This window comes from Homo sapiens, chromosome 2 (genome assembly GCF_000001405.40).
Source record: "Homo sapiens chromosome 2, GRCh38.p14 Primary Assembly".
Classification (NCBI taxonomy): Eukaryota; Metazoa; Chordata; class Mammalia; order Primates; family Hominidae; genus Homo; species Homo sapiens.
In genome coordinates this window covers 129999439-130025965 of record NC_000002.12, presented here as the reverse complement: position 1 = coordinate 130025965, position 26527 = coordinate 129999439, and the positions used below count along the sequence as shown (strand labels likewise).

General features: G+C 38.0%; 1 pseudogene; it reads right to left on the bottom strand.

Moving 5' to 3' along the window:
• Positions 1-16676: 16676 nt before the first annotated feature.
• ARHGAP42P2 (ARHGAP42 pseudogene 2) lies at positions 16677-19766 on the bottom strand (annotated as a pseudogene).
• Between the last annotated feature and the right edge of the window lie 6761 nt (positions 19767-26527).

Sequence of the window (26527 nt, the reverse complement as noted above, 5' to 3'; positions counted from 1 at the left end):
AGATTAACCTTTTGGTCATGCCTAGTCTAAGAGAAAAGAGATACTCTTATCAATAAATACAGAGCCCAGCTATGTCAGTGAAGATCTCAAGTGCATAGAAAGTAGTATAGGGAAGAGTCAGAGGCCAAAAAGACAGTGATGGCAGACATTGAACAGAGGAGAGTGTGGTGTTTGCCTTTGCATCAACTGAGATTATGGAAGAACACCTGAGGCTTGCGGAGAGCACCTACAAGATACCATAAGAACACCTATGAAGTGAGAAAAATTGAATTACTGTTGTTCTTGTGGTTACGATTGTATTTATGGTTGTTACTTCATTCATATTAATCACCTATGTGCCCAAGTGTAATCATGAAGTTAGGTTTTTCCCAGATTTTTTTATTAGACTCAAGAATTCCCATAGACAAAGGCAATATCACTATCCTTTTTATACATTTCTTCTCTCAGTTCTGCAGAGCCAGAATGTAGAGTCCAATCTTTTAGATAGGTTATGCAATAAAGGCTGACTTGGATTATCTAACTGGTACATGAGGCCCCGTGTGGTAGTTTACTCCAGAGGAAATTGGCACCTGTATATAATTGTAGTTAAGTCGATCCCTTGATATCAGAAAAGTTTCTGCTATGCAGTCCTTTTTGATGATTTAATAATATACATCCTCATTTTAGACAGTACCAGTGGCCATAGATGTACTTGGCAGCAGAGTATTACAGATGGTAAAGCTTGAATCTGCGTTTTAGTAGCAAGAGCATTTGGAGTCTTGTGCTTCCCTTGTAGACATCTTCTTCACATCTACAGCCTATCTTTCGTCTACTGTTGTTACTGCTACTAGTTCCATAGACATTCTAATTTTCACTTGGGATATACATTTTTGTTATTTGTAAGCTCCCCCTTTTTCATTTTTTCACCCCCTTTCAGACTGTTCTAAAATCAGAAAGGAAATTCTCCTCCTTGAGCATGTATATGTTTTTGGCTCTTGGAACTTGAGATGATGGTGCAAGTAAGTACCAGCACATTTTCCAGATAAGTCATGTGAAGTGATTTATGTTTCATAATATGATCATTTCTGATTGATCTTATCTATTATGACCACCCATAGAGATGGCTGTAAAGAATTAAGAACATCAAACAATGTCAAGTTGTTCATTGCATGTATTTCAGAACATTGCCAAGATAAAGCCAGGTGGAGTCATTAATTTCACCAGCAAGTTATTTCCTTGCTGCAATACCAAAGACTGTAATTTTTGAATTAAAGCCTCTGGTTTTTCTAACTCATCTTTCATTGTTGATCATGGCAAGTGAATAATTAATGAATGTATATGTTTAGGTTATGAGGAATTTAAAACACAACCTAAGACTTGTAATGTTGATTGCTTTTGAATGTTGTAATGGTTTTGAGAGTGTCTGCTTAATTACATACTTGCTTTTCTTAGAAAATCAACTCATTTCATTATTAGTGATTAATTTTCTCTTAAATATTTAACTTCATATTTTAATCACTGTGCCTGGGATTCCATTAGATATTTGAAAAGATCAAGTTTAATGTTTTTACCCAGGTAACATATACAATGGCTCAAGATTTGTGTTCAAACTTTGATCTCACAATTTAAAAAAACACGCATTAAGCACCATGGAAATCCCAACAACTTCAGCAAGAAAGAGTCTTTGTTCCATAGTTTCTTTGCTTGATAAATATGTGCACTAAAATAAATGGAATATCTTAATTCAGTTTTTGCTTCATGAGACTGGTTGAGTGAACTTAGGCCTAGTGCTTTGAAAATTGGCCTGTTGTAGAAGACTGATATTCTAATTGCCTAAAGAGAGTCCATTTCTTATAAGAACACATATATTTTGGAAGATGTGGTATTTCTCAGAAAACTGCTGAAATGAATTATGTATCTTTTCTATCTTTAATTTTATTTCAAAGATCTAAAGCTTTCACTTGAAAATTAGTCTTTTGGAAAAAAAGACATTGAAACTAGTGTTAAATTATATTTCATTGAGGTAATGAATATAAAGATTCATTTGCTGTAATCTCCTTGTGATCTTTTAAAGTAGTTTCTTGTACTTTTAAAAATAACACTATAATGGTCTATATGTGTATCAGTTTTTACAATAATTTGTCTAAACTTTAGCTTATACCGGTGTGCATGAAAAACCAAGTGCAGTCTGAATTAGCACAATGCAAATAGAAAACCGACCTTTTATTTTCCTCACAAAATTATATCTAATATAAACCTTATGTAAATAAAGAATTTTTAAGTGCTTGTAAATTAGTAAGAAAATCATACAAAATGTCAGTGGAGTAGAATAGTTAAGGATTTTATATCACAGTAAAATGCATTTCTAAATTGACAGTATTGTTATAAAACATATTCTTGAATATTGTATGAATTTATCACCACTATTGAAGTCAAAATAAAGATGGATCTCTAAAGTATACAATTTATTTGGGAATCACAGAATTGTAGTTCTGAACAAAACTGAAAACCATGGTGGTCTTCTATATGTGTGAAGGACAAAGAGAAGATTGGGGGTTTACTAGCAAGGGAAATGCTACATATTGTTTTGAAAGAAAGCTCACGGACACTAGAGAAGATTTTGGGAGCTGGTCAAACAAGCCTAATGGGAGACAAATCTTTTGAGACTTCCCAGGAGCCCAACTAGAAAATCCCTTAGTCAATTTTAGGTGAAAAAGACTTAAACTTGAATTTGATTCTGGGGAAGTTTGTCATTTGTTTGGATGCAAAAAGCCTAAAAATATTTAATTAAAGTGGAATTACATATTCTTGAGAGATAATGGTCACTTATTTAACCAGAGTAATAATGGAAAGACTTCAAAAACAAATTCAAAAGTTACATAGTCAAGACAAAAAAAAATACTTAGACCTGTATTAGAGATGACTTAGTTTTTTCAGCTGCTCAAAACCCGAATGAAGACAGCCCAAACCACAAGAAGCTATCTTAAAACATAAAATATCTGCTTGTTAGGTAGAATACTTAGAGAGAGAGAGAAAAAACCTTTTGTAGTATGACCATTTCTCTTGGTATATGCCCTTTTGAGTAAGCTGGAAATTAAACCCCATGAAAAACTACTTTAATTCAATTAGATGCCGGAAGAGTGTGTGTCTAAGGTTATAAGTAAACCATATTATAGAATAATAATACACACACACACACACACACACACACACACACAAGTAGTACCTCCACCAGGGGGAATGGATGGCTTTTAGAAAAAGTAAGAGCATGTGAAGTTTCCTGGTTACATAGAACAATTTGGATACATCAGAAAAAGCCAAGAGTACAGAATTAATCTATACTGGAAAAACGTTTTTCCGGTTTTTTTTGAGACTAACATTCTCAGTGTCAGGTTATAATACCTGAGTGCGAAATGCGGAAAAATGCAATAGGAACTGACCAAAAAAAAAAAAAAAAAAAAGAGAGTCACCACTTTAGTTAAGCAAAAAGATGTACTGTTTTAAGGAGAGAAGAAGAGCATAAGGCATTGAAGTATTAACTGCAAATTACACGTAGTGAGATGCATAAAAAGCCAAAGCCTTGAGATAAAAATCTGAAAAACTTTAAGAGGAAAACTCTACCTCCTGAAACGAAGCGGTCATTTATTTTTCTTTATTGCTGCTTCTAAAAAGAGGATACATGTACAGAATGTGCAGGTTTGTTGTATAGGTATACGTGTGCCATGGTGGTTTGCTGCACCTATTGACCCGTCCTCTAAGTTCCCTCCCCTCACCCCATCCCCCAACAGACCATGGTTTATGTTGTTCCCCTCTCTGTGTCCATGTGTTCTCAATGTTCAACCCCCCCTGAATGAGAACATGCAGTGTCTGGTTTTCTGTTCTTGTGTTAGTTTGCTGAGGATGATGGCTTCCAGTTTCATCCATGTCCCTGCAAAGGACATGCTGTCATTCATTTTTCATGGCTGCATAGCATTCCATGCTGTATATGTAATACATTTTCTTTATCCAGTCTATCATTGATGGGCACTTGGGTTGGTTCCAGTCTTTGCTATTGTAAATTTTGCTGCAATAAGTAGAATGATTTATATTCCTTTGGGTATATACCGAGTAATGGGATTGCAGGGTCAAATGGTATTTCTGGTTTTAGATACTTGGGGAATCACCATGCTGTCTTCCACAATGATTAAACTAATGTATATCCTCACCAACAGTGTAAAAGCATTCCTATTTCTCCACAGCCTCGCCAGCATGTATTGTATCCTGACTCTTTTAAATAATCACCATTCTGACTGGCATGAGATGGTCTCTCATTGTGGTTTTGATTTGCATTTATCTGATGATAAGTAATGTTGAGCTTTCTTTCATATGTTTGTTGGCCAACTTCTTCTGGGAAGTGTCTGTTCATATCCTTTGCCCACTTTTTAATGATATTATTGCTCATATTAACTTTGAAATGACTGAAAATTCAAAATAAAGACAAAGATAAAATTATATTTTTTAAGTTATAGGTATGAAGTATCTTTGAAAGGAAAGAAATTTCTAGATTATATGTATATGTATGTGTATATATTTATATGTATATGTGTGTATATGTATGTGTGTATATATAATATGTAGATACTGTTTTCAACAAAAAAATTATTAGAGTCAAAATAGTACCATCTCCAGATGTTTTTATTTAGCTTGGTATCTAAAATCATTTTAGGTGACTCATTCCCATGTGTGGAAAATTATTAAAATTTGTTGTCTACATCTGTGGTATTCAGTATAGTAGCTGCTAGCTACTTAACTTTTAATCAGTTATAATTAAACGAAATTTAAAATTCATTTCTTGCATCATACTAGCTACATTTCAAATGCTCAATAGACACACTTGCCTAGTGGCTACTTTATTGGACAGGGCAGGTATAGAATATTTCCATTATCACAGAATATTTAACCAGACAGCATTGATCTAAATGGTTTTTTTTTTTTTTAACTGGAGTGCAGTGGTGCAGTCTCAGCTCATTGCAACCTCTGTCTCCAAGGTTCAAGCAATTTTCTGCCTCAGCCTTCCAAGTAGCTGGGATTATAGGTGCCCACCACCACATCTCGCTAATTTTTTTATTTTTGGTAGAGACAGGGTTTCACCATCTTGGCCAGGCTGGTCTTGAACTCCTGACCTCATGATCCAACAGCCTTGGCCTCCCAAAGTGCTGGGATTACAGGCATGAGCCAGTGCGCCAGGGCAAGTATCTTGTAGAGAAAGTTTATATTATGATTCAGATTTCCATGTTGCCCATCTTTTTTATTAATCTTATAGACACTTATTGGAGCGCTTATTATGTCTTAAGTGCATGAGAAGTGCAAAGAGTGTAAAGACAAAAATGATGTAGCCAAATCAAGTGGTGGAGACAGACATTTAAAACATAATTGCAACCCAACATGAATTCTCCAGGGAGAGGAGAGCAAAGGACAATGAAGGCAGAAAGAATCACGCTTGCAAATCCATGAACGGTGTGGTGTGTTTGGGAAACTCTGGGTAATTTATTTGGCCCTAGACAAGTAAAAACAAGGACTAGAAACGTATGCTGAGGCCAGATCTTGAAAGATTTCAAATAACTGCAGTCAGGTTACACTCCATTGAATGAAAACCCAGTTGAAACTGGTTTAAAACACAAATGTGGTGTATTGATGTACAATGGAAAAAATCCAGCACTAGAGTGGTGAGCAGCTGTGATTCAACTAGAGCTCTGGCTGCCTTGGTCTTTGTGAGTCTCAACTCTGCCACTTTGTTCTGGTTTTATCTTCATGATGAATAAGATGTTTGCTGTAGCTTCAAGCTTTACACACATACATGGCAATGACTGGATGAAGAGAGGCTGGCCCTCTCCAAGATTTTCTCCCAAGATTGATGAAACTTGTTTTCTAAAAACCCTCAGCAAATTTCCCTCCCATCGCATCAGCCTAGTTAAGGTTACCTGTCCATTTCTGGCCAGCCCCTGTGGCCTGAGATTATGCCATGTACTAGTTTGTTGAGAAACCTCAGATGTAAGCCAATCACTGTCTAGAGTGTAAGAGCGCATGGAGATCAATCAGCTTTTCTCTGAAGCTGGGGTGAGATTATGTGTTTCTGAGGCAAGGTGGCTACTGGAGAAGGGCGAATACCTGCGTGATAATTCAGAACTCATCAAGAGATAGAAGACTGGGTGTTAGGGGGTTAGCATTCTGAGTGGAGCATGGTTTCTGGAGTCAGAGAGACCTGAGTTGGTGTCCTTTATCCACCAGTGGGTGGTGTAACTTTATGTAACTGAGCCTCAGTTTCCAAGTGGAGATTATAATGGTCATTGTCTTTCATACCGTTGTGAGATGTAAAGGGGTTAACACAGGAAAGGCACTTAGAATAGTGCCTGAACCACAGTAAGCGCTCAGCAAATATTAGCTTTAAATTCATACTCAAATATGGGAGGCAGTTTGAACTTTATCTTTTAGAGTCTGACACTCCCATTGAAGGTCTTTTGTATCTTGACAGCTGGAAGATTTCCTACTACTTAAATAATAATAAAAAATTAGAACTCAAGTGATGCTGATGAGGATAGGAAATGTGAATTATTTGAGTAGTTGGGACATAAATCACATGGCCCGCAAAGCTGAGAATATTATCTGGCCCTTTACAGAAGTTTGCCAACTCCTGAAATAGAGGACCAGAAAAATGTCTTCTGATACAAAACACCTAAACATGTTAAGCCTGGTGCAGTGGCTCACCCCTGTAATCCCAGCACTTTGGGAGGCCAAGGTAGCTGAATCCTCCCACCTCAGCCTCCCAAGTAGTTCCATATCAGTCTGGACAACATGGTGAAACCCTGTCTATACTAAAAATACAAAAATTAGCTGAGCATGGTGGCAGTTGCCTGTAATCCCAGCTACTTGGGAGGCTGAGGCAGGAGAATGGTTTGAATCCAGGAGGCAGAGGCTGCAGTGAGCCGAGATCACACCACTGCACTCCAGATTGGGCAACAGAGTGAAACTCTTTCTGGAAAAAAAAAAATGTTTTTATGAAACAGTTTTAATGCGCAGCTGAACTTGTGGCAAAATAAGGAAATTCCTAAGTGTCCTGAAATGACAAGAAAGTACACACCTGCACACAGAGCGAGAGAAGTTGAACAAGCACACACACAAATATGACAAATGTGTATTGAGAGCCAAATACACATCAGGTACATATTGCTCTGTGCCTGGGGAGCAGGGGCAATAAGGTAGAAAATAAAACAGACATGGGATTAACCTCATAGATCTTAAAGTCCAGTGAGGTAGGCAACTTTTACAGGAAATAAATGTATATTAAATATTTTGAAAAGTACTGTGAAGAAAAAGAGCAAGACGCTTTGAAAGAGAGTAACAAGTGACACCTGCTTTAGGATTATGTGCCTTGGAAAGGACTCCAGAAATAGTGCCACTGGAACTCAGGAGTTAAAGTATTCATGGAAATGGGAGAGAGCATTTCTTTTAGGTAGATGCCTAGGCTCTGCCAACTTTGCTTGATTCTATCTGACTCTGTAAGACAAGTTATAGAAGTATAATAATGCCTTTGCTACAAAACCAGAAATGGATAAATACTTTAGAAGAAATTTTCACGTCTCATCAAATGGGCATTTTCATGCTATAGTAATTGTTCCAATTTAAAACATTCATTTATACATATTTTCTTCTTCTTTTGTTTCCTTTTTTTTTTTTTTTTTTTTTTTGAGACAGGTTCTCACTCTGGTTCCCAGATTGGAGTACAGTTTGCAATCAGCTCACTGTAACCTCAAATTCTTGGGTTCAAGGGATTCTCTTGTCTCAGCCTCCTGAGTTGCTGGGAATATAGGCACACACAGCCACAGCTGGCTAGTTTTCATATTTTTTGTAGAGATGGGGTATCACTATCTTGCTTATGCTGGTCTCGAACTTGTGGTCTCAAGCAATCCTCCTGCCTCAGCCTCTTAAAAGTGCTAGGATTACAAGTGTGAGCCACCACACCTGGTTTATACATATTTCAATAGTTTTAATATGACAGCAAAGTCCATTTGAGGCAGAGGACAGACTTTTTTTTAAATTATTGAAACATCTGTCTTGCTCTTATCACCATAGCTGGAGGGCAGTGCATGACCATGGTTCACTGCAGCCTCAACCTCCTGGGCTCATGTGATCCTCCCACCTCAGCCTCCCAAGTAGCTGGGACCACAGGTGTGTGACACCATGCCTGGCTAATTTTTTTTTTTTTTTTTTTTTTTTTTGTAGACATGGTGGTCTCACTACATTGTAGAGGCTAGTCTCGAACTCCTGGTTTTAAGCAATTGGTTAGTCTCGAACTCCTGGTTTTAAGCAATTTTCTGGTCTCAGCCTCACAAAGTGCTGGGATTACAGGTATGAGCCACCACACCTGGCTAGAGAACAGATTTTAATAACAAAAGAAAAGTCCTTTTTATTCTCAGGTTGACTTTAGGAGCCTGTCTAAAGTAAAGGTGGGTAGATGAGACTGATTGCTTACAGAAAGCTAGCTTTGTGTGCTGAACTTGATACTATTAGAGGTTTCTTGAAAGATCTGGGAAAAAAGGTTTAAAATTGCAACTGGAAGATGTTTGCTAGACTAGAAATGGAGAGTCCCAAGCACTCAGGAATTCAGCAAATGGCTGCTGGTTAGGTTTTTGTTTTTATTTTTTGGATTTAAGATACCCTCAAACTCTAGTTATTTCTGAATTGAAGAAGACCAATTGATGGGTATGTTTGTATTAGTAAAATCAAAAAGCTTATTAATTTATATTTCACATTAACAAAACCCATAAAGAAATTATACTTTGCCTTTGTAACCCATATGTCACCTTGGATATCCCTGCCCTTTAATAAAATGTAATTAATGAATTCCCCAAGAATTGTTGAGGATTCTCAGGTGGCTAATTGTTCATGGTCATCTCTGCTGTTGCTGGGGATGGAATCAGTTTTGTTTATGAATCATTTTCATTTCACATGGGCTCCATAACAAGTCGATCCAGACCAGGTAAAGGCCTCGTTCTTCATTTGTCGTAAATTGAGAATCAAACAACAAAAAGAGAGAACACGTGCCTAGGCCTGCCTAAGACTCATAGGACCTGCCTTTACATACCACACATGGACACCCAATCTTTCAATGCGTCATCCTCTACCCTGTTAACTGAAGTTTTCTGTGTTTATTTTTCTCATCTTTTAAATCTTCCATTTACTGTAATTTAGGAGAAAATGAGGTCACTGAGTTTGTTAATTCATTTTGCTGAGTTTAGTACACAAATTCTAGGCAACATTTCACAGACCTGGCTCTTTCATGGTGTAATAAATGTGGGCTTTTGCAAACTGTTTTCCTCTTTTTGGTCTCACAGCTATGTTTTGGATAATTAAAGTTGCTAAAGGTCTAAACAGTCAATAGCAGTTTACTAGTAGGTTTTGTTCTTACATCTGCACTGGGCGGTAGCATAGGGCAGTAGAAAGAACACTGAAGCTCTAGATACTACTATCTCCTCAATCAGAGAAGTAGAGCTTGGTGGAGAGACCATAGCCTAGTTAGCTAACCCATATGAGTCTTGTTTTTATTATGCATAAAGTGGATCTGATAATAATAGCTATTTCACAGGGATTTGCAAAAATCAAATGTAATCCTAAGTATAAAATAATGTTTTATATTGTGCAATATAAATATTAGTTTTGTTATCAGTAACCTCTCATTTCTTTTACCCAGGTATGTTCTTTTGTTCATTATCCCTAAGCAAGACTCTCTACATTGCCTGTATCAGTTTCACACTCTTATCAAGGATGTATACATTCCTACATTTTCTTTCCTACAGTTAGTCATCATTTCATTAGAAAGACATTTAAGTACTCACATTTGTATTATAACATTTAATTTGAAAAAAGCTTTTTGCAAGAAAGGAGAGTATAATCAGGAATTCATCTATAAAGTCCTAGGTTTCAGCAGCCTGTGCCACATGTGTTCACAGTCACTCTCCATTCTGCATGAGTTGTACTAATGTGGGAGCTGAAGGAGATAAACCCCCCAAATCAGTAGCTTAATACAAATGAAATGTGATTGTCAATCACAGTAGTTCTAACTGGTAGAAGGCGTTGCACTCCACAGTCACTCAAGGATCCATGCTGATGGAAGGTTGCCATCTTCTGCACGTGGCTTCTAAGTCATCCATCTCTCTGGATGACAATATCCAGCTGCCAATGGGGTAAAAGGGGCACTGACATCATGTGGAAGGATTTTATGGTCCAGGTCCAGCAGTGCCCATCACATCTGTCCATATTCCATCCTCAGAAGTGTTACTGGGCTACATCTATATATGAGGATGGCTGGAAAATACATAGCTGTGTGCCCAGGAGGAAAGGAAAATAGGATTATTGAACAACTAATGAGGTTCTGCCATGGCCTTCTTTTTAGGTCACCAAATACCTGCCTTCCTGTCTTTCCCACACATACAAGACACTCATTCCTACCCAAGGGTCTCATACCATTATTGCATCCAGTTCAAATTCCAAGGTCCAAAGTCCAAAGGGGAATAGACTGTACTCTGTATCAGATTCTGATATGTCAGCTTCTGGTTTGGCATTCTTGAATAAAAAGGCCAATTTTCTGCCTCCCATGTAGAGGTAAAAAATATCTCTGTTCTACCTCTTGTCATGGTAGAACAGTGAAAACACCACCATAATTGAAGAAAAAAATAAAATTAAACAAACCTGCTATGCAAGAAAGAGAAGACAGGCAAGCAGCAGTCCCTAGAGTATAACCATAAGGAAATCATGAGTAGCAAGTAGTGAGAAGCTCCCTACACAGGGCATGGGGAAATTCCTTAAATAGCCTCTGAATCTGCTCTCTGGGAGGAACCCTCTTTTCCATCATTTTTGGTGGTGGCTCCATCCTCTGGAAGGTTCTTTTTTCTTATTCCCTGGCTGTCACCCCTGAACTGGCTGTTAAGGAGTGTGCTTTTCTTGAGGTCTTTGGCTTTATAACTCATTCTGCAAGAGTAAAGGCGAAAACCAATGGGTGTTTTATGCCGATCTGTCCCGCAGACTGGCCAAGTGATGAATGAAAGGAGTTCGCTGACACAGGTATTTTTCCTGACAGTGTGGCTAGGGGACTGCACCACTCAGTGCTGCCGATGAGAGAGTGCAGCAGCCGAAAGGAGTGCAGCTTCCCTAAGCTGGCCCCACTTGCATTTATTTAGTACAGATTTAATGACAAGGGCTTGGAGCAAACACAATTTGTGGGTAATTAACATTGTCAACCCCCCAAGTAGAGAGCAGTCCTGCACATGAATGATCAAAGGTTGGTTTCCAGAGATATGAGTAGAACAATTTATCTAGATAAGTTTCTTTACATTCCCTTGTTATCTAACCCTTGCTCTTAAGAGAATTTAACTGCCTTCAGCTAAATTCTCTTTTGAAGCTTTTGCAAAACCTCCCGTTCTTCCAAGAAGGTTTGTGTCTTTCCCTATAACCTTTTCTTACAACTTTTCCCACCACACTGACCAAACTCCTACAGTTTTAGGTTTAAGGTCAGTCATTTGCTGGCTCTGGGGCTGTGGAAGAAAAAATAAATCTGTCAGTTCATGAACACAGTGTGACAGCTTGGCATAAGTAAAAGACATGAACAAAAGGATTAATGAAGGAGTGAAAGAAGGAAGGCATGTGCATTAGGTACAACATCATCTAAAAACTAAAAAAACTGCAGTGCATTAAACTCATTCATTCAACAAGTATTGGTTGAGTGCCTACTAAGTGTCAAGTGCTGGGCCCAATGTGGGGGATTCAGTGGAGGATACAGTGGCAACACATGGAAAGTAAAGGCAGTGAAAAGGCCGTGGATTTAAAAATTAAAGGAAAAAAAGGGGTAATACATTTGTTACTGGTTTTAGCAAATCGAAAAAATGTGAGAAAATAGTGCAGTGTTTGCCAAATCTACAGCTCTTGCACCCTCACTGAGTCTCAAATTAAGAATGCACAAAAGCAGAATTACTAGGAAATCAAAGTTTTATGGGTGTATTCCCTTAAGTAATAGCACTATACTGCAAAATTGGTGGAGGTCGTCTGCACATTTGAAATAACCAACCTACACCTTTACCCCCTCCCCCAGATTCTAACCAAATAAAGTATGAAATAAGGCAGAACTCACCATACTACACCAACTTACCAGGAATGAAGTTGATGCTGATTGGAGAAGTGTCAAGCAATAAAGAAGAGTTTGGATTTATCTTTAACATTGTCTTCATGTCACTCGAGACTTTAATCTCAGCCAAATCTACTTCCAAAACCAATCTCTTGTGCAATGATCTTGTCTGGGTCCAGGCCAAGACTTACTTCTATTGCATAGATAATCTCACCCTTCTTGATTTTTACTCTGAAGAACTTTCCTGTCTGGGTTAGTGTTTCCTCTGGTAGGCATCAGATTCTGCAAATATTTATTGTCTCATGTTAATCAAGGACCCCTCTAGATTCTGCTATTTAACTTTAAGTATTTTGACATAAACAGAGTGATTTAAATGCAGTTGGAACTTGTTCCTAAGTAGGGCCTGGTATAGTTTTTAAGCAATATACCTCTCCAGTCACACATAATAATGAATGGATTCTAACTTACGCTAAGTACTACCGTGTTTCTGAAGGTAATAAACCATGTCAGCTCTGTGAGGCTTAGAAATTTTTCTTTAAAGCATAGTAATGAAAAATGTTACCAGTTTTCCTTTGATTACTACTATATTGCCCAGGAAGTGTGATCAAAAGACATCTGTTATATGTATCAAAATTCATACATCTGCTTCATTCATTTCCTTTTATGGTATCACCTCTAACTTCCAGTTTCCCTGCTGTCAGAGAGAAACAATTAAATGGGAGATGCTTTGGACAACAGGATTTTTAAAAATACAGTGGCCACAGAGAATTGGAACTGAAGAATCAGAAGAGAGGATTAATTTTCTTTCTTCTTACTAAGTTTCTTAAGTATTTTCAGAACTCTTAAAGAGACATATCAATAGCGGGGAAAGTATCTGAATTAATGGCAGGATTCTTGAGGACTTTCTCACAAAGATAATTAAGGTGGCACTCTAAGAAAACAACCAGAGACATCACAAATAATGTATAGATATTTTTATTGTAGTATTACTTATGGTAAACTTGGATCCAATTTGAATGTTCCACAATAGAGGAGTGATTAAATAAACAACAATACATACAAGTGTTAGAAAAGTATTCAGGCATTAAAAATCATGTTTTATCAAATAGTAAATGACACAAAAAGGCTTGTAATATATTCAATGCAAAACCATATTCAGTATAATCTCAACTCTTAGCCCTAAATGTTGATATGATCTTGGATTAATTTTTTTTTTTACATTTTCAAATTTTCAAATTAGAAGTATGATTATTCTACTTCTATGGTGTGGAAAAAATTACCCTCTGTAAAAGTGAATAAATAAGAACAGTCATCTTCTACTTTCCACGTTTTCCAAATACAATGAACACATTACACTTTTACAGTGGAAGAAAAGAAACACCTATCTTTTAAAATAGTAAATAAATCAGAATAAGAAATTCATCATGAATTTATAAAATTATGTCATCAAGTATAAGTTCAGTTCATGTTTAGTTTTGAAACTTTATCAAAATTAAATAGTTTGACTTATTTTTATTAGAAATACGATTCTAAGTATTCAACATTGCTTTTTAAAAAATTATCTTCTAGTTTTTCTCAAAATCTGAGGAGCTGCTACGGAAAGCACACCAGATCTCATGTGTTGAAACGTGAACATGCTCACCACAGACCAAGGACGTTCAACCTGTCAATCCCCAGGATTTCCAAGCCAGGGGTTTCATCTCTTACTTGTGGAAAATTTGTTCATTTGATTATGAACCAATCAGCTTTTCATTGTGTCAAAATCAAATCTAGATAGTGAAACTGATATTTTATCTTTATTGTTATCTTAAATATATCTTGGCTTAAAGAGACATAAGTGGCTCTTCCCCACTATACCAGATAACAAGTTGCAAATAAATCATTCAGTAGTAAAGTTCAAAGAAAGCTTGAAAGCATTTTGAATTTCCTAGTGTCTTACAGATTTGTTTCTTTTTACAACAACCATGTCCCATGTATATCTGTTTAGGACCTTAAGTTGTTAATAATGTACTCTGAATAGTTCCTTAAGAAAACATTAAAAGGACAATGTCCATACCTGGGAAATAAAACCCAAAGTAGTAGGAATTATATTAAAAATCATGTAGTTAATTAAGAATGATTGTGAGCTTAGACACTGAAAAATATGTCACTGAAAGAATACCAAAAATGTCAGCCTTTTCCTCTTAAGTTATAGAAAGGTATATAATATAAGTACTTAGTACATAAGAGAAGAGTTAGAATGAGATTGTACCAGGTTCAGAATTCCTCATCCGAGAAGACCAGACAAAATTCAAGATTTTTAGAGAGGGACTCCCTGAATGATGTCACCAGTAAGTGGGTTTATAAACAAAGACAGAGCTTGGCAGGTTGCACTGGATACTTCAAACCAGTTTCTCTGGAAAAATTTGAGTTACTCAATAAACCCTCAGTTTTCCTGAGGTAAATCAACTTTGAAATACAGTGGAGAACTCTGGGTGATAAATCACGCCGTGTTACACACTAGGACTGCAGTTCACAGAACATGATTAGATTTAAGGCAATAGAAGATAGGAACATTTTTTGAACTAGTTTATTGAATCCTTTTGAGAATATCACTGTTTGGAAGTTCCTAGAAAGCTTAGACAAATTAATCTTCAAGAGGCCAACAAATTAACTTTGAACTAAAAAACAAAAACACAACCAAAAACTTTGAATTAGAAAACATCTGCTAAGAAAAGCCCAACAATCTGACATGTTGATTATTACTTTTTAACACTGCAGGAATACAAAGATGATTGTACTATTCAGACCTTTACATATCACACAACAGAAAAATCCTTCAGTTGACTAGTTTCCATAAACTTTGTAGCGTTATGGCAAAACAAGAGTCATCTGTGAAATACACAAATGTTTTGTACTGAGGGATATTTTCACATAACACAGGAGATGATAAATTTAGACCCCCTCAATCTCATCGTCATACTGATTATACTGTAAGCAGTGATTGGGGTGCACACATTGCATGTTTTGAAGGTATGGATGTGGCAATTCTAATGTATCAACATTGTTTCTGAAAAGCTAAGGTTTTGTTATTGAACTACTATTAGAAGTCGAATGTGATCCTCTTCCAATGTCTGGCATTGCCTTCCTGTGGAATTAACATTCTGTGTGATTTAGAGTACGTGTCCCGACTTTCTCAATGCTCATAAATACCTTGTCTGTAGGAAACTTTCTTTAAGGGAAAAGCAGCTTTAGCCTGTCTCCAGTACATGGCCCTGACTTGCTTATACATGTAATCTATTATGAAGGAAAAAGAGCCATCCTCACAAATCTACAAGATTAAAACTCCTAGCACAAACACAGCTTGAATCAGTGCTTCTGTAGCTTCTTTCAGCAAAGGGACCATCGCCAGCACTGTGGCTACAACATATGCCTTGCCATCAGATACAAGAGTTAGGCTTCATATCCACGTCCTGTGCAATAAAAAAGCTTTAAATCTGAATGGAACATCCATAGAACTAGCTCACAGACAACTCAGAAGCAGGAACACTTTGGTCTGTGTTCAAGTAAAATGAAGGTTGAGATTTCTTTATGCAGCAGCAGAAGTAGGATTCTGTATCTCTCTTTGGAGTCAAGTTGGTCTTTGAAAGAAAACCAATTTGCTTTTAAGAGGTTCTAATCTAGCAGGATACCAGATGATGGCAAGTGTGTTTAAACCAAGTATAGACTAAGGGATTGGTACATTGAAAGACTACCTTCTGTTTCAGCCGAGGGTAATTAGAGTGTCAGGAATGCTGTTATTACTACTAAGATCTCCAAGGACCTAGACCAAGAAGTTCCATCCAGCAACACCTTATTACAGTGTACAGAGGTCAACAGAAAGAGGTAAAAGAAAAAGATAATCTTTTATCAGACTTTTACATTACATTGCTAATTTTTATTACAGAATATTTTTCATTCTCTTATTTTGATCCCCTGATATTTATTTCTGATTCTGACTCTGCCTACTGTTATTCACCCTACTTGTTAATTCTAATCTATTCTTTTTATTTGTAAAAGCATAACTTTTCTGAGGCATAGTTGTGGTGTATATGTGTATTTAACCTATTCTAGAAACAGTAGAAAAGATAGTAGAAGAGAAATAGTAGAAGAGATCGAGATTACAGATTATAATAGCATGTAAAGAGTTTTATACAGTTAATACCTGAGAGTCTGCACAGTGGGGAACTCTGAAGTAATATGTAAGGTGTCAAGAACAAGCAGGTCAGGACTGTGGCACTCAAAGGGCAGGTAACTAGCTTTTCAGTAACATTTTTAAGTAACAGTTTCACAGATCCTCAGAGAATGCCAGGCAGTAAAGGACGCATCTCAAAATCCATACAGCAGATTTCTGGTTTCCAAATTTCTGGGAGATAGTACTTAATACGGTATTTGAAACTCTACAATTGCTATGGAAGAGACATTCTGGAGAGTTACGTATTATCCAAAAATAAATTTTTCAGAAACAAGAAATTTTAAAATAAACCAACCAAAAAAGAATGGCCAACCTTTTAAACCTTTTTTTTCCATTAATAAGGAGCTACATAGTCTGCTGGTGAAGAACTTGATAGAAATTGACTGTTTTCAGTTAGTGGGCTGATCCCCTTGTATCTGTGTCAGATAAAATCATAGCACTTATTATTTGTTACCATGGATACCATGAAGATACTGCCATCCACTAAATAGTAGTAGAGGAAGACAACATAATTTTCTGGAACTAGTCCCGTTTTGCCTTCATAAGTTGCCTTTAACCATCCTGGTTCCACTGATGGGCCACGCTGGAAAATATCACTCCTTGTGGGAAGGAAAACTCATGCTGTGCTCTGCTTTACAGGAGTACATGGCTTTGGCTTGGTGCCCAGAAGAAACTGGCTTAGGTGAACCAACATTTTCAAACAGTTGAGCTTTTGCTGCCACTACTGAGCCAGGACGCTGATAGCCATTGCTTGAGGCGGTGTCTAGTCTTAACCTCCTGCACATTTTTGGAGGCAGGTCTGGGTTTGAAGCTTTGGGTGTCTCCTTGGAACCTACAGAAGCTAAGCTTTGAATATATCCACTGTAGCTGGTGTTTCCTTCAGCTGCAGAGATGGATCTGAGAGAAGAAGCAGAAGCTCTTTTCAGTCCTGAAAGTCCATAAGGCCCTTTCTTGACTAGGTCTATGGGTGGGGAAACATCCCCTGGGCTAGTGACCGAAACAACACTCTGGCAATCTGATTCTGCATCTGTCTTTGTTGCATCTTCTCTAGAAATTGATTCAGGACTGGTTGTCCAGAGACCAAGGCTTTTCTGTCCATGGGAAGATGACGGGGTTGCAATCCAAGGAATCCCTCCAGATTTCTCCCTGGGCTGGCAGGAAGCTGACTTTGTAGTGCTATTTTGTTCTGAGGAAAGAGAAGAGAGTGACTTGTTGCTCCCCATGGGGGTGCTGTCTGGGCTGCTGCTGTAGGAGTCACTATCAGGTTCAGCCAGGCATGGAGTACCCGTCCCTCTGGACTTCCTAGAGCCTGTAGAGAGGCAGATTGCTTGTGTCTTTTGGGATCCAGATCGAGACTGAGGCTGAGGAAGAGGAGTGCTTGGGTCTGGAGCAGTATGAAAAATCGTTTCATCGTGCTCTGTAAGAATTTCTAACACAATATTCTGAAATTTAATATTCACCATAGCAGCTACAGTTTATTCTTGTGCTCTCATTAGAGTTGGGCCAAATATGACACCAAGATTTGAGACAGTCATGAGATTTTGTTGGCTGTGCAGTGATACTTTGACCAGATGTTTTATTAAGATGTCCAGCATCTCTCTGTTTTTCTCTGGCAATTTGCACACCAATGCATGTACAGCCTCCACCCTGTAGTTTTGGTCATCAGATTTAACAGCAATGATACAAATCTTTGTGTAACTTGTAAGTCATCAGTGGTGCTGCAAAGCACCTGAGGTAGTTTTTCAGCCCACTCATTGTCTTATTGTCCCACAGTTCAATATCAATATCAGGAGGGGATTTAGGAGAAAATATGATATTCACAAGTTTTTGAACTTTGGAGTTCACTCCTCCTATTCAGTAGAGGCCTAAAACGGTGATACTGCTTGTTTCCACAGCTTGAATGCAGTTTCTCACAAAATTGAACCCTGCTTCATTCAAATACCTTTCTTCTTTCTTGCTTATAATGTCAGGCAGAGTATAAATCGTTTCCTTCCCATCCATGGCTTCAAGCCAGAGTTTCCTATTAGCGTCTGAGAAGGCCTGTAATGTGATGATCCCATGCCTTTCAACTACTTGTATGTCGAAGCAGAAGTGGTTGTCAATTGAATCTGTCTTTCGTCGGATACAAGATTTTGAACATTTCCGGTGAGCTAGTAACAAGGCTGTTTAATCCACATAAAACCAAGCGGTCGTTTCTCCTGGACATACGGATAGCCTTCCATCGTCCACTGGCTGGGTGGTCTGTAGTCCTGGTTGGCAGATTTCATCCTCTGCATCAACCCCTCTACGTCTTGTCGAGTACTTTCAAAATTATTCCTTGTATTCTGCAAGTCGAACTGCAGCTGTTGCTTATGCGGTGCAAATCCTGGGCAAGTTCATATCCCTCATGGTAAAAAAGTAAATAAACCCTGAAGAAATGACAAAAGCGGTTCAACAAATTCAAACTTTTTTTCTTGAACCGCTTGAATTTTAAAGACATTCTTTTTTCTTTTATTTATTTTTATTTATTTGTTTATTCATTTATTTTGAGACGGAGTTTTGCTCTTGTTGCCCAGGCTGGAGTGCAATGGCATAGCCTTGGCTCACTGCAACCTCTGCCTCCTGGGTCCAAGCGATTCTCCTGCCTCAGCCTCCCGAGTAGCTGGCTTTACAGGCATGTGCCACCACACCTGGCTAATTTTGTATTTTTAGTAGAGACGGGATTTCTCCATGTTGGTCAGGCTGGTCTCGAACTCCTGACCTCAGGTGATCCACCCGCCTCGGCCTCCCAGAGTGCTGGGATTACAGGCGTGAGCCATTTAAAGACATTCTAATGATGCTTCATAGAAGTTCTGATGTGCTCGATCAATTTGTGTATCTGCCTCTTGCAAATGAGACTCCTTTTTCTTTGCAGATAAATTTAAATGCTTTTCAAGGATAGAGTAATATTTTTCACTCTTTGTCAAACTTCTTTCCACCTTTTGCTGCACCAATCTGTTCTTTTCGAAATTTCTCAAGTGGTGCAATTAATACATCATTAGCGTTTTGGATCAGTCTTCGCCTTTCTTCTTCTACTGCAATGAGTAGCCTTGCAAATTCTTTTAGTGACTGAGTAATACTAATTTCATCATCTGTTTGAGCATTATCAATACATTCAAATTGGAAATCTTGTAATGACTGGGAAAATTTCTGCACTGCCATAGACAGATCCCCAACCTGGGTAGAGGTGTGTTCCTTTGGAAAGGGTGAAAGGGTAAGGGAACTGGGTAGGCAATCAACATTACCTGTCCTCAACGCCCCAGTGAGCGGAGAGCCCTCCTTAATGAGCTCCTTGATGAACTTGTTGGTTCGCTCCAGTTCAATCTCCTGACACTGCAAGCGCTCCCTGAAATCCGGGCTGTCCAAGTAGGAATCGCTGAACTCCAGAGTAGGCAGCCCCATGGCACAGGCGCTGTCAGCGGCGTCCGCGGGCACGTCTGGGCCGGCGGTCAGGGCAGCAGCTGGCAGCCGCGACGTGCGCTGGGGACGCGCGATCGCGGGGAAGGCGCTGCTGGGACGCCAGGGGACTGATCGCTGAAAGGAAACGGGCCCGCGCGCTCCAGCCGCCTGAGCCGGGCTCAGTCTTCCTCTCCCGGGGCGAGGCAGCGCAGGCCTGGCGGAGGGCCTAGGCGCGGGTCCGCTCAGGTTGCTGTCAACCGGAGGCACCGTCGTTCGGAGCGCTGGGACTGCGAGCAACATTGTTGATTATTAAAGAAGCACACAATAGAAGTGCTAATTTTATTTTACGAGTTCCTTGATAATTTTTAGACTCTTTTGTAGGAAAGAAAAGTAATGTGTTTATGCTTGCCCCAGGCTTCCCTGTGTGAAAGCTGCTTTTTCTCAACTTTCAAAAATGAGTTTCTGATTGACATTAATGATTCTGTTAAATCTCTATATAAGGCAAAGGCAATTGGGAACATTTGGAAAGGCATTTGGAAACTTCCAAAATTATAAATATTTGCATTGAAACTTCCAAAGCCAATTGTGTTCATTACTTTTTTTTTTAATTTTTCCTGAGAAATTATCCCACAAAAAGCAAGAGGCCTCTAGTGTAACTAGTTTTCAGTTTTCCTGTTACTCAAGTCAGATCAGCTGAAGCATGTTCAACCTCTCCCCTGTGGGCCAGTTACAGGGGAAGGAAGGAAGGGGGGGAGGGAGGAAGGAAGGAAGGAGAAAGGAAGGAAGAAGGAGGAAAGAAAGAAATGTAGTCCTGGGGATACACTAACAGTTCCAGAAATAGAAGCAATTTATTTTCTCAATTTCTTTCTTACCTTCTTTCACACTATCATTCACTAATTAATTCAATCACCAGCATGGTTTTACATGTCCAGCTTCTTTCCTTTTCTTAAAAATCTCTTCCAATCACACCATCTTTTTCTTAAAAGCTTCAAATTTCCCATAGTTATTTTATTCAAAAGCCACGAGGTTCAACATGATTTTGGCATACACTCTGGATCACAGGATAGAATTGGAAAACTTGGCATGGCCCAACACACACATACACACACACACACACACACACACACACACACACACACGACACAGCTTTCTGATCAGCAGCTTTTGGAAATGGAGTACTGCTGTGAAAGTAGAAAGGGGATTTTCCTGTTATTAGGGACCTACAATGTGGTAGGCACTAAGACAAACATCTGACTTCATTACTCTAATCCTCAGAAATCTCTGTAGTGTGCCCATTCCTATATCACAGATGAGATATTAGTTCATGAAAGCTGTCCTCTATCCAAGGTTATGTAATTTATGCCCAGTTATATACAAAATTGGAATGCCGGTCTCTAATCTCTAAAGCCCATACTTTCTCTACTGTAGTTTATTGCCTCTCCTAGGAAATTTCTTCCTCCATGACAATATCATGAAGAAGGGGAAACTATTGCTTGTCACTTCTTAGTATCAACACTTCTTCCATCATCTAGCATGAATAATGTAGAGACACCACCAATTCTGTTGGAGAGCAGAAATAATCTTAAGGTTGTTCAACTTCCTAGCCACCCTGGTTCCATTCCTGCCCAGCTGCAAGAAAGAATTATTAAAGAACTCTGTGAAATTGACCTTTGGTGTGGGAAGAAAGCATAACAAGATGGTGAATCAAACATTGTGCTGCATTTAGCATTTATTATAGATTATTACGCAAAGTGAAGTAAAATTTTGTTAAATGCAAAATTGTCTATAAGAACAGCATAATATGTGCTTAATCCTACTTCTCTGCGATCACGTGATAAGTTAGTCACATGATTGGCATTTTAGACATGATGGTGCAGAGAGGTAAATAACTTGCCCCAGTCACATAGCAAATAAATGGCAGAATCAGAATTCAAATCCAGTCTTTCATGACTCCAAAGGGCCTGAGTTCTTTCCAATACACCGATGGTTCTCAACTACAGAGTGTATCAGAATTACCAGAGAGTGTGTTCAAAGTAAAGCTAAATGCCCAAGCTTTGACCAATAACTGCTGAATGAGAATCTCCAGGGTCAGGACATATGTTTGTTTGAGCAACTTCCTAGGCAACCCTGCTATATGCCGAAGTTTGACGGCCATACTACTATACCATGCTGCCTTATGGAGTTATAGAAATGATCCTTTGCTAAAACATTAAAAACATGTAGACTAATCTTTACATCTTATGGGAGTTACTAGTGAACTAGCAAAAATTTTAACATTTTGTGAATTTTTGTTAATCTGTACATTGGGTATAATGGTTTTTGCTTAAATTAGAATGTACTTATTTGTGTTTAATTGTTCTCAACTTAGAGCTAATTTGTAGAATTCATTTATTTGCTTTTACTCAGCACTCTACAAATTTTCTATAAAACGTTACAGTGTCTCTTTCACCTTGGGACACCAAATATTCCACAGAGACTGCCCCTTAGTTTAAGGGACCTTACTCTTTTCTTTGACAAATATACATATACATACATATATATATATATATATATATATATATATATATATATATATATATATATATAATTTCTTTTACATATATATGTAAAGCAGGTCTTGGTGGGTTAATGGGACTAAATAATACAGTTATTTTTGAAGAGCAAGACTTAGTAAAATAATTAAAGATCAAAGATTCTTATGACTGGAAAAGATTTGATTACCTTCAGTGAGCCCAAGGAATTACAGGCCAAATCTCCTGTGGATATTTCCAAAATGAGGTCATGTGGCTAACTTGTTGATTGTAAGAGACCACATTAAAGGCCTCTGAATTGTTTCAAAAACATCATATAAATTTAATGCCCCCACCCCAATTCCTGCTTCTAATAAAAATACAGTGTTAGTGTCTGACTACAGAAGTCACACATGAGGAGTTCATTTTTTTATTTTTTATTTTATTTATTTAATTTTTTTGAGATGAAGTCTCACTCTGTTGCCCAAGCTGGAGTGCAGTGGCATAATCTTGGCTCACTGCAACCTCCACCTCCTGGGTTTGAGCGATTCTCCTGCCTCAGCCTCCCAAGTAGCTGGAATTACAGGCATGTGCCACCATGCCTGGCTAATTTTTGTATTTTTAGTAGATACTGGGTTTCACTTTGTTGGCCAAGCTGGTCTCAAACTCCTGACCTTGTGATCCTCCCACCTCAGCCTCTCAAAGTGCTGGGATTACAGGCGTGAGCCACCACACCTGGCCCGCAAGGAGTTTATTTAAACCAAAGAATTTCTCTTTCTGTTTTTCTCATCTGCTGAATTTCCTTACTTAGAGTTTGCAGTTTCTCTCTTGCCTCTGGGCTACAAGTAACTGTTCATATAATTTGAATAGTATCTCATGTTTAAAAACAAATTAAGACACAGAATACTTGCCTGTGTAATGGAAAATCAATGGAACACTGTCAGTTTCCAAGAGAAATGTATAGTTTTGTTATAATTTGAAATGCTTAGATCACCTTTCAGCTGTATCTTTCAGTGATCACATAAATGTGTCAAGAACAAGGTTTCCTAAAATGGTTAAAAAACAATCCCTCTGCTTGAGTTTTGATGATGGTTAGCAGTTATTCAACTCTTTACCTTCTCAGTCTTATGCTGTCAAGTAGAGAAAATAAGTTTATGCAATGGGAAGAAACAAGATAAGCTCTTAGATTTTAAACTAATTATATTGTTCTTAATTGATGGGCTTTCAATGAAATTTTTGAAATTATGTTTTTTATTTATTCATTTTGACTTCATATTTTTCTAAATTTAATCTTTCACATTAGCAAAAATAAAAAACCTTTTAGAAGAACTGGCGCTTATCCAGGATCCATTTGCACCATTTCATCTTGTCCCTTCAGTCTTGTCATTATTATAAAAATAGAGGGTCTGCTATAAAGATGGGAGAAATGAAGCTCTCATTGGCAGTTAATACAGAGGATTTAGGGAACGCTTTGTGTCCTCATTTAGCAGTTGCTACCTGCGAACTCTCATCACAGTCATACAAACTTCAAGAATCAGGCTTCCATTCTATTGTAGTAATAGTTCTGTTACTGTTCTTACAAGAATTAATTTTAATTCAATAAGCAAAATTTGAGTCTTTTCAGTGAACAAGAATCAAGGACATTAAAAAGAATTTTTTTTAAAGTAACACCCTTTAAAATAGCCACACATAGAGTTAAATACCTAGGAATTAACTTGACCAAAGAAGTGAAAGATTTCTATAATAAAAACTATAATACACTGATGAAAGAAATTGAATAGGACACCAAAAACTGGAAAAGTATTTCAGGTTCATGGATTGGAAGAATCAATATTGATAAAATGTAGATACTACCACCCAAAGCAATCTACAGATTCAATGCAATCCTTATCAAAATATCAATGACTATTGTGTCTATTTGATTCTTGTCTCTTTTCTTCTTTATTAGTCTTGCTAGCGGTCTGTCAATTTTGTTGATCTTTTAGAAAAACCAGCTCCTGGATTCATTAATTTTTTGAAGGGTTTTTTGTGTCTCTATTTCCTTCAGTTCTGCTCTGATTTTAGTTATTTCTTGCCTTCTGCTAGCTTTTGAATGTGTTTGCTCTTGCTTATCTAGTTCTTTTAATTGTGACTTTAGGGTGTCAATTCTGGATCTTTCCTGCTTTCTCTCGTGGGCATTTAGTGCTATAAATTTCCCTCTACACACTGCTTTGAATGTGTCCCAGAGATTCTGGTATGTTGTGTCTTTGTTCTCCTTGGTTTCAAGAACATCTTTATTTCTGCCTTCATTTCGTTATGTACTCAGTAGTCATTCAGGAGCAGGTTGTTCAGTTTCCATGTAGTTGAGTGGTTTTGAGTGAGTTTCTTAATGCTGAGTTCTAGTTTGATTGCACTGTGGTCTGAGAGACAGTTTGTTATAATTTCTGTTCTTCTACATTTGCTGAGGAGTGCTTTACTTCTAACTATGTGGTCAATTTTGGAATAGGTGTGGTGTGGTGCTGAAAAAAATGTATATTCTGTTGATTTGGGGTATAGAGTTCTGTAGATGTCTATTAGATCCGCTTGGTGCAGAGCTGAGTTCAATTCCTGGGTATCCTTCTTAACTTTCTGTCTCATTGATCTGTCTAATGTTGACAGTGGGGTGTTAAAGTCTCCCATTATTATTGTGTGGGATTCTACATCTCTTTGTAGATCACTAAGGACTTGCTTTATGAATCTGGGTGCTCCTGTATTGAGTGCAGATATATTTAGGATAGTTAGCTCTTCTTGTTGAATTGATCCCTTTACCATTATGTAATGGCCTTCTTTGTCTCTTTTGATCTTTGTTGGTTTAAAGTCTGTTTTATCAAAGACTAGGATTGCAACTCCTGCCCATTTTTGTTTTCCATTTGCTTGGTAGATCTTCCTCCATCCCTTTATTTTGAGCCTATGTGTGTCTCTGCATGTGAGATGGGTTTCCTGAATACAGCACACTGATGGGTCTTGACTCTTTATCCAATTTGCCAGTCTGTGTCTTTTAATTGGAGCATTTAGCCCATTTACATTTAAAGTTAATATTGTTATATGTGTATTTGGTCCTGTCATTATGATGTTAGCTGGTTATTTTGCTCGTTAGTTGATGCAGTTTCTTCCCAGCCTTGATGGTCTTTACATTTTGGAATGTTTTTGCAGTGGCTGGTACCAGTTCTTCCTTTCCATGTTTAGTGCTTCCTTCAGGAGCTCTTTTAGGGCAAGCCTGATAGTGACAAAATCTCTCAGCATTTGCTTGTCTTTAAAGGATTTTATTTCTCCTTCACTTATGAAGCTTAGTTTGGCTGGATATGAAATTCTGGGTCGAAAATTCTTTTCTTTAAGAATGTTGAATATTGGCCTCCACTCTCTTCTGGCTTGTAGAGTTTCTGCCGAGAGACCCACTGTTAGTCTGATGGGCTTCCCTTTGTGGGTAACCCAACCTTTCTCTCTGGGTGCCCTTAACATTTTTTCCTCCATTTCAACTTTGGTGAATCTGACAATTATGTGTCTGGGAGTTGCTCTGCTCGAGGAGTATCTTTGTGGCATTCTCTGTATTTCCTGAATCTGAATGTTGGCCTGCCTTGCTAGATTGGGGAAGTTCTCCTGGATAATATCCTGCAGAGTGTTTTCCAACTTGGTTCCATTCTCCCCGTCACTTTCAGGTACACCAATCAGATGTAGATTTGGTCTTTTCACATAGTCCAATATTTCTTAGAGGTTTTGTTTGTTTTTTTATTCTTTTTTCTCTAAACTTCCCTTCTCGCTTCATTTCATTCATTTTGTCTTCCATCACTGATACCCTTTATTCCAGCTGATCGCATCGGCTCCTGAGGCTTCTGCATTCTTCACGTAGTTCTCGAGCCTTGACTTTCAGCTCCATCAGCTCCTTTAAGGACTTCTCTGCATTGGTTATTCTAGTTATCGATTTGTCTAATTTTTTTTCACAGTTTTTAACTTCTTTGCCATTGGTTTGAATTTCCTCCTGTAGCTTGGAGTAGTTTGATTGTCTGAAGCCTTCTTCTCTCAGCTTGTCAAAGTCATTCTCCATCCAGCTTTGTTCCGTTGCTGGTGAGGAGCTGCATTCCTTTGGAGGAGGAGAGGTGCTCTGCTTTTTAGAGTTTCCAGTTTTTCTGCTGTTTTTTCCCTGTCTTTGTGGTTTTATCTACTTTTGGTCCTTGATGATGGTGATGTACAGAAGGGTTTTTGGTGTGGATGTCCTTTCTGTTTGTTAGTTTTCCTTCT